Source organism: Homo sapiens, chromosome 19 (genome assembly GCF_000001405.40).
Source record: "Homo sapiens chromosome 19, GRCh38.p14 Primary Assembly".
NCBI classification, from domain to species: Eukaryota; Metazoa; Chordata; class Mammalia; order Primates; family Hominidae; genus Homo; species Homo sapiens.
Genome location: NC_000019.10, coordinates 49,626,458 through 49,635,264, shown reverse-complemented (window position 1 = coordinate 49,635,264; position 8,807 = coordinate 49,626,458). Strand labels below are relative to the sequence as shown.

Genomic DNA, 8,807 nt, shown 5'->3' with positions numbered 1-8,807 from the left:
GGTCGGGCACTGTGGCTCACTCCTGTAATCGCAGCATTTTGGGAGGCCAATGCGGGAGGACCGCTTGAGTCCAGGAGTTTTTGACCAGCCTGGGCAGCATAGCGAGACCCCCATCTCTTAAAAAAAAAGGGTGGGGGAATGAACTCTGGGAAGGTGAACGAATTCAGGGCACACATGTTCTAAGGCCTCCCTCCACCTAGAACCCTCGCATCTAGAACCTATTGCTTGGGGAGGAGCAGAAGAAGTTTATAAAGCATAACCAAGTGCCTAGACCCCCCACTTTCCCTTCAACAGGGCGATTCTACCCTTTTCTGTTTGTGTGTGTGTGTGTGTGTGTGTTTTTCTGAGATGGAGTCTCACTCTGTAGCCAGGCTAGAGTGCAGTGGTGTGATCTCAGCTCACTGCAACCTCCGCCTCTTGGGTTCATGCCATTCTCCTGCCTCAGCCTCCCGAGTAGCTGGGACTACAGGCGCATGCCACCACGCCCCCAGCTAATTTATTTTTTGTATTTTTAGTAGAGGCGGGGTTTTACCATGTTAGCCAGGATGGTCTCAATCTCTTGACCTTATGGGTATTTTCTTGGGATAAACTTTGAACATCTGATGAAGGAATTTTTTTTCCTAGAAAGTTATAGAATGCGCTCTTCAATATGGTAGGCAGAAGCTACATGTGGCTATTTAAATTAAAATTAAATAAAATTTGGCTGGATGCAGTGGGTTATGCCTGTAATCCCAGCATTTTGGGAGGCTGAGGTGGGCAGATCGCTTAATCTCAGGAGTTCGAGACCAGCCTGGGCAATAAAGTGAGACCCCCCCCCGCCCCCATCTCTACCAAAAATACAAAAATTAGCTGGGTGTGGTGGCACATGCCTGTAGTCCCAGCTACTCAGGAGGCTGAGGTAGGAGGATCGCTTGAGCCTGGGAGACAGAAATTGCAGTGAGCCAAGGTGATGCCACTGTACTCCAGCCTGGGCGACAGCAAGACTGTCTCAAAAAATAAATAAATAAAAAATAAAAAAAATAAAAATAAAGGCCAGGCGCGATGGCTCACGCCTGTAATCCCAGCACTTTGGGAGGCCCACGCGGATGGATCACCTGAGGTCGGGAGTTCAAGACCAACCTGACCAACATGGTGAAACCCTGTCTCTATTAAAAATACGAAAATTAGCCGGGCGCATTGGTGGGCGCCTGTAATCCCAGCTTCTCAGGAGGCTGAGACATGAGAATAGCTTGAACCCGGGAGGTGGAGTTTGCAGAGAGCCGAGATTGTGCCATTGCACTCTAGCCTGTGCAACAGAGCGAGACTCCGTCTCAAATACAACAACAACAACAAAATAAAAAATATTTTAATAAAACTTAGTTCCTCAGTCAAATCAACATTTCAAGACCTCAGTTGTCACATGTGGCTAGTGACTTTTTTTTTTTTTAGACAAGAGTCTCGCTCTGTCACCCAGGCTGGAGTGCAGTGGCAGGATCTCCAGTTGCTGCAACCTCTGTTTCCTGGGCTCAAGTGATTCTCCTGCCTCAACCTCCTGAGTACCTGGGACTACAGGCGCATGCCACCATGCCCGGCTAATTTTTGTATTTTTGGTAGAGACGGGGTTTCGCCACGTTGGCCAGACTGGTCTGGAACTCCTGGCCTCAAGTGATCTGCCCACCTCGGCCTCCCAAAGGGCTGGGATTACAGGCGTGAGCCACCGCACCCAGCCTCTAGTGGCTATCTTAATAGATAGGGCAGATAGACAACATTCCTATCATTGCTGAGTGGGCTATTGGATAGTGCTTTCTAGAACATTCCAATAGAACGTTCTAGGACATTGGAGACAGGCAGCAACTCAGCTGGGTGTGGTAGCTCACGCTTGTAAGCCCAGTACTTTGGGAGACCGAAATGGGTGGATCACTTGAGGCCAGGAGTTTGAGACCAGCCTGGGCAAGAGCTAGACTCTGTCTACAAAAATAGAGACAGGGAGCAACTGCTACAAACCCTGCCTGTCCCACTCTCACCTTCAATGTATATCGAGAAGGGACAGGTGGGTGGAATGGTGTCCAAGCAGCCGTCTGGCAAGTCCTCATTTTCAGAAAGTTCCCAGTAGCACTGAAATCTGAATCTAAACACTTAATCCAATTTGGGGTCAGTGTGGACATCCCCCATCCAACCCCCTATTCTGTCCTGGGAGAAGCAGAAGTGTTGGGTGTCTTAAGGCCACAGTGGGTAAATGGATGACACACTTCAGTCTGGATACCCAAAGCCCATCTGTGTCCTAGGAACACTTCGTTTTTTACATTTTATTTATTTATTTGAGACAGGGTGTCACTGTGTTGCCCAGGCTGGAGTGCAGTCGCGTGATCACAACTCTGTAGCCTCAACCTCCTGGGCTCAAGCAATCCTCCTGCCTCAGCCTCCCAAGTAGCTGGGACTACGAGTGCACACTTGGCTAATTTTTCATTTTGTTGTAGAGATGGGGTCTCGCTATGTGGCCCAGGCTGGTCTTGAACTCCTCCCTTTAAGCAATCCTCCTGCCTCGGCCTCCCAAAGCTCTGGGATTTACAGGCATGATCCACCATGCCCAGCCTGGGGACACTTAGGACTCTCCCACATCCAACCTAAGCTCTGGTTGGGGGAGGAGCAGTCCTGCCCACTATTTGCTACCCTGGAAGGCTGAAGCCAACTGGAGACCACTGTCCACCCACCTCCCAAGCCTGTGTGACCGGCCATCTTTAAAGCCCCAAATCTACCCAACACACCAGGCTAAAAACCTCAACCGGCCGGGCGCGGTGGCTCATGCTTGTAATCCCAGCACTTTGGGAGGCTGAGGCGGGTGGATCACAAGGTCAGGAGATCGAGACCATCCTGGCTAACACAGTGAAACCCCGTCTCTACTAAAAATACAAAAAATTAGCTGGGCATGGTGGCAGGCGCCTATAGTCCCAGCTACTCAGGAGACTGAGGCAGAAGAATGGTGTGAACCCAGGAGGTGGAGTTGCAGTGAGCCGAGATTGCGCCACTGCACTCTAGCCTGGACGACAGAGCGAGAGTCCATCTCAAAAAAAACAAAAACAAAACAAAACACCTCAACCGAGATGTCCCGATGCCCTGAACTTGAGGCTCCACCTGAAACCTATCAGCAGTCAAACATCTGCTCCCTATACCCAGGCCCCTGATCCCTGAATGCTCTACTCGCACCCACCCTGGAACCTGCTTCCTAGTCCTAGGGTGGAGCATGGCCTTTGCGTGACCGGGATGCCTGAATTCAAATCCAGCTCTGCCACCTCAGTCTCATCTGTAAAATGGGGGTAAGTACAAAGCTACTTCACAGGGTGAGCACGAGACTAAAGGAGACGATTGCAGAGGAGGAATGAGCCCGGCGCATACTAAGTGCTCACCATCAATGACTGTGGCTGACATGTCTCCATTCTGCCCCAGAACCATGAATGTCCCTCTGTATCCCGGATTAGAACACGGATTAGCAGGCTGGGCGCAGTGGCTCACGCCTGTAATCCCAGCACTTTGGTAGGGCAAGGCGGGCGAATCACCTAAGGTCAGGAATTCGAGAGCAGCCTTGCCAACATGGTGAAACCCCCCTCTCTACTAAAACTACAAAAATTAGCCGGGTGTGGTGGCGGGCGCCTGTAATCCCAGCTACTTGGGAGGGTGAGGCATGAGAATCGCTTGAACTCGGGAGGCAGAGGTTGCAGTGAGCTGAGATCGTGCCGTTGCACTCCAGCCTGGGCAACAAGAGCGACACTCTGTCTCAAAAAAAAAAAAAAAAAAAAAAAAACTGATTAGCTAAATATCCCTTTCCGGGTTCTATTATCACAGAATCTTTGGCCTGTTCTCAACCTTCTGCCCTGGGAAAAAGTACAGCTCGGATGTACTGTCACATGTTGGCTCTCTTCCCTGCTAGGAACTCTGCACACCAGGGGTCCACCCCTGCTGGATGGGGAGTGGTGGGGCAAGAGGGTGGGCAATGTTTTGATCAGTTTCCAAACAAGCTCTGACACTTCCACCTAAGCCCCAGCTGCGGGTACTGAGCCCCCAACAGGAAGGAGTCCTGTGCCAACATCTCTCTTCCCAGATCTCACCATCCACATGCCCCCTGCAGAGGATCAGAGTCTTTCCTGCACTGCCCGATGGGGCCAACTTCTTGGCTGGGGCACCCTGCTTCTAGTAGGACCAAGATGCACTTTGAGAAGGTGATTAAAGTTACCGCTTGCCCCCCAAATGCTCAAGACAACTGGCAGACCATTTTTGGAAGGTTTACAGCCACCAGTGTCCCAAAGATCAACACACAACAGCAAAAAGGCTGGCATCTCCCTAGGTACTGTTAGTGCCAGAAATTATGTATTCGGTTCCTCCCCTCCCCTGAGCTCTGGCAGGCCCTAGCAACGATTCTAAAGCTTTCCAGGTTTTGATGTCCCCATCTTTTTTTTTTTTTTTCAAGACGGAGTCTCACTCTGCCGCTCAGGCTGGAGTGCAGTGGCGTGATCTTGGCTCACTGCAACTTCCATCTCCCAGACTCAAGCAATTCTTCTGCCTCAGCCTCCCAAGTAGCTGGGATGACAGGCACCGGCAAGCATGCCCGACTAAATTTTTTTTTTTTTTTTTTTTTGAGACAGTGTTTCACTCTTGTTGCCCAGGCTGCAGTGCAATGGCGCGATCTCGGCTCACCGCAACCTCCGCCTCCCGGGTTCAAGCGATTCTCCTGCCTCAGCCTCCTGAGTAGCTGGGATTACAGGCATGCGCACCACCCCGGCTGATTTTGTATTTTCAGTAGAGACGGGGTTTCTCCATGTTGGTCAGGCTGGTCTTGAACTTCCGACCTCAGATGATCGTCCCACCTTGGCCTCCCAATTTGCTGGGATTACAGGCATAAGCCACTGTGCCCGGCCATACCCGACAAATTTTTGTATTTTTAGTAGAGGCAGGGTTTCACCATGCTGGCCAGGCTGGTCTCGAAATCCTGACCTCAGGTGATCCATCCACGTTGGCCTCCCAAAGTGCTGGGATTACAGGTGTGAGCCACCACGCCCGGCCAATGTCCCCATCTTTATCTTTCTCTGTGTCTCTTTGTTTTCTGTCATGTTGTGGACCTCTGTTAAGCTTCTCTAGATCTCCTGCTACAGGTCACAGGAGCTGCAGGCCAGGTGCTCCAAACCGGTTGTCTTCCTTCATTTTGACAAAAGCCCATTTAATGGATGGCAAAGGTGAAGATGGGGTCTGTTACCCAATCTGCCTGGTTAGTGCTGCAGCTGGGATTCTAATCTGGGCAGCTGGATGCCAAAGGCCAACCACAAGGTGATTCTGTCCCTAAAGGGATGATTCCTGACCTCACTGTCCACGCTCACAACACTCCACTCCCGGCCGAGCGCGGTGGCTCATACCTCTAATCAATCCCAGCACTTTGGGAGGCCAGGGCGGGTGGAGTACCTGAGATCAGGAGTTAGAGACCATCCTGGCCAACATGGTGAAATCCCGTCACTACTAAAAACACAAAAATTAATTGGACCTGGTGGCACGTGCCTGTAGTCCCAGTTACTCAGGAAGCTTGAGGCAGAAGAATGGCTTGAACCCAGGAGGCGGAGGTTGCAGTGAGCCAAGATCATGCCACTGCACCCAAGCTTGGGTAACAAAGCGAGACTCTGTCTCAAAAAGAAAAAAGAAAAAGAATACTCCACCCGTTTTCCATCCTGGAACTCTGACCTGGGACAATGCCAATCCTTTGGCCTCAATTTTAGCTTTTTTTTTTTTCTGGAGACATGAGGATCTCGCCATGTTGCCCAGGCTGGACTCAAGCAATCCTCCTGCCTTGGCCTCCCAGAGTGCTGGGATTATAGGCATGAGCCACTGTCACCTGGCATTTGGCCTCAGTTTGACAGTCTAGTCCAGGACCTTGAATGTATGGCTTTCCATCAAAGGCTGCACCCCCACATGCTATAGGCCACAGTTCAAGCACAATAATGGTTTGTACTCAGCCCTCTTAACTCAATGATTCTAGAAAGTTCATGATCCTTTTTAAAATTTTTTGAGATGGAGTCTCACTCTGTTGCCCAGGCTGGAGTGCAGTGGCGCGATCTGGGCTCACTGCAACCTCAGCCTCCCGGGTTCAAGCGAGTCTCCTGCCTCAGCCTCCTGAGTAGCAGGCACAAGCCACTATGCCTGGCTAATTTCTGTAATTTTAAGAGAGATAGGGTTGGCTGGGCACAGTGGCTCATGCCTGTAATCCCAGCACTTTGGGAGGCCAAGAAGGGCAGATCATGAGGTCAGGAGTTCGAGACCAGCCTGATCAACATGGTGAAACCCTGTCTCTACTAAAAATACAAAAATTAGCCGGGAGTGGTGGCATGCACCTGTTATCCCAGCTACTCACAAGGCAGAGGCAGGACAATCGCTTGAACTTGGGAGGCGGAGGTTGCAGTGAGTCAAGATAGTGCCACTGCACTCCAGCCTGGGAAACAGAGGGAGACTCCGTCTCAAAAAAAAAAAAAAGAAGGTTTTTACCATGCTGGCCAGGCCGGTCTCAAACTCCTGACCTCAGGTGATCCGCTCATCTCCACCTCCCAAAGTGCTGGGATTACAACCGTGAGCCACCACGCCTGGCTTCATGGTCTATTGTTGACTCACCCATTATGGTTCTCAAATGCTACTATCCATCCTCTAGTCTGAAACCAGGATCTAAAATCTGTAACATGTGGCCAGGCACGATGGCTCTTGCCTGTAATCCCAGCACTTTGGGAGGCCGAGGCAGGCGGATCACGAGGTCAGGAGATTGAGACCATCCTGGCTAACACAGTGAAACCCCATCTCTACTAAAAATACAAAAAAAAAAAAATTAGTCGGGCATGGTGGTGGGCGCCTGTAGTCCCAGCTACTTGGGAGGCTGAGGCAGGAGAATGGCAGGAACCCTGGACGCGGAGCTTGCAGTGAGCCGAGATTGCGCCACTGCACTCCAGCCTGGGCAACAGATCGAGATTCCGTCAAAAAAAAAAAAAAAAAAAAAAAAATCTGTAACATGTGATGGTCTAGAGTCCAGATTTGTCCAACCCACCTTATTTTGTTGTTGTTCTGTTTTGTTTTAGGCTTTTAGCAGCCTGAAGCCATGGTTTTTAGTTTCTGTCTCTAGTAATAAACAAAAAAGAGGGATGAGGAAGGGGCTTTACTGGTACAACAGAAACTAAGAACCCATGACTGTATTCTCTCCTTGGACACCCCTGGAACAATACTCAAGGTTCTAGAACGATGAGGGTTCTCCCTGAATCTCACCTAAAAGGGCATCTGGAATGCTGATGTTCCACCCTCAAATCTCACACTGGGTCCCTACCCACGGACTAAGCCAGGGTTCTGGAACACCAGTGGTCCATCCATCCAGGCTCTAGAATGACAACAGCCTGTTCACTGCTTCATAGACTGGGTTCTAAAATATTGCCAGTTGACCTCCACATTTTTTATTTTTTGAGATGGAGTCTCGCTCTGTCAGCCAGGCTGGAGTGGTGCAATGGCACGATCTCAACTCACTGCAACCTCCGCCCCCTGGATTCAAGCGATTCTCCTGCCTCAGCCTCAGCCTCCCATGTAGCTGGGATTATAGACGCACGCCACCACGCCTGGCTGATTTTTGTATTTTTAGTAGAGACGGGGTTTCACCATGTTGGTCAGGCCGGTCTCGAACTCCTGACCTCAAGTGATCCCCCCGCCCCGGCCTCCCACAGTGCTGGGATTATAGCCGTGAGCCACCGTGCCCAGCCAACCTGCACATTTTTAACATTCTTGTTCTAGAACACGGTTCTTCAAACTTGAATGTGCTTGAGAATCCTCTCGGCATTTTACTAAAAAGTGGGTTCTGATCAAGTAGACCAGAGCAACAGCCTGAGATTCTACATCTTTTCCTTTAAGGGTGGGAGGAGGAGAAACAGCCCTATTCAACCTGCCCTCTCCTCGTCTGCTGCCTGTGCCGATTCTACATTTATACAAGTGCTTGGGGAACTCCAAGAGTGCTGTACCATGGACCACTCACTTGGATTCAAGAATACAGGACTTGAGGCCGGGCGCAGTGGCTCACACCTGTAATCTCTTTGGAAGGCTGAGGCTGGCGGATCACTTGAGGTCAGGAGTTCGAGACCAGCCTGGCCGACATGGTGAAACCTGGTTTCTACTAAAAATACAAAAATTTGCTGGATGTAGTGGTAGGCCCCTGTAATCCCAGCTACTTGGGAGGCTGAGGCAGGAGAATCGCTTGAACCGGGGAGGCTGAGGTTGCATGAGCCAAGATCGAACCACTGCACTCCAGGCTGGGTGACAGAGCGAGACTCTGTCTCAAAAAAAAAAACCAAAACAAAACACTACAGGATTTGAACTGGGTGTAGTGGCATGCACCCGTAATGCCAACTACTTGAGACTGGGGCAGGAGGATCTTTTAAGCCCAGAAGTTCAAGGCCAGCCTGGGTAACATAAAGAACACAGGGCCAGGCACAGTGGCACTTGCCTGTAATCCCGTCACTTTGGGAGGCTGAGGCAGGAGGATCGCTTGAGCCAGGGAGTTGGAGGCTGCAGTGAGCTATGATCATGCCACTGCACTCCAGCCTAGGTGACAGAGCGAGACCCTGTCTTTAGCTAAAAAACAAAAGAAACCCCCCAGTGATAAATATTTGTTGTCTGAAGTCATTAAATTTCAGGGTGGGATACTCTGCTGTGCGGGGACACAGAACATATGCCAGCCTCAGGCCCCCCACTGCCCAGGGCTCTGGGAAAGTCCCGTTCCAGAACCTCTGCCCCTGCTACCACTGCCACCCACTCCAGCGCCGCAGGACAGA

General features: G+C 50.7%; 1 annotated feature.

The window, feature by feature from the left end:
* Positions 2,190–2,689: an enhancer, noted in NCBI's record as "H3K4me1 hESC enhancer chr19:50135833-50136332 (GRCh37/hg19 assembly coordinates)". NCBI's record gives its function as "activates a minimal SCP1, AML or CMV promoter by ChIP-STARR-seq in naive H9 embryonic stem cells {active_cell/tissue: H9 hESC(naive)}" and the evidence as "EXISTENCE:reporter gene assay evidence [ECO:0000049][PMID:30033119]".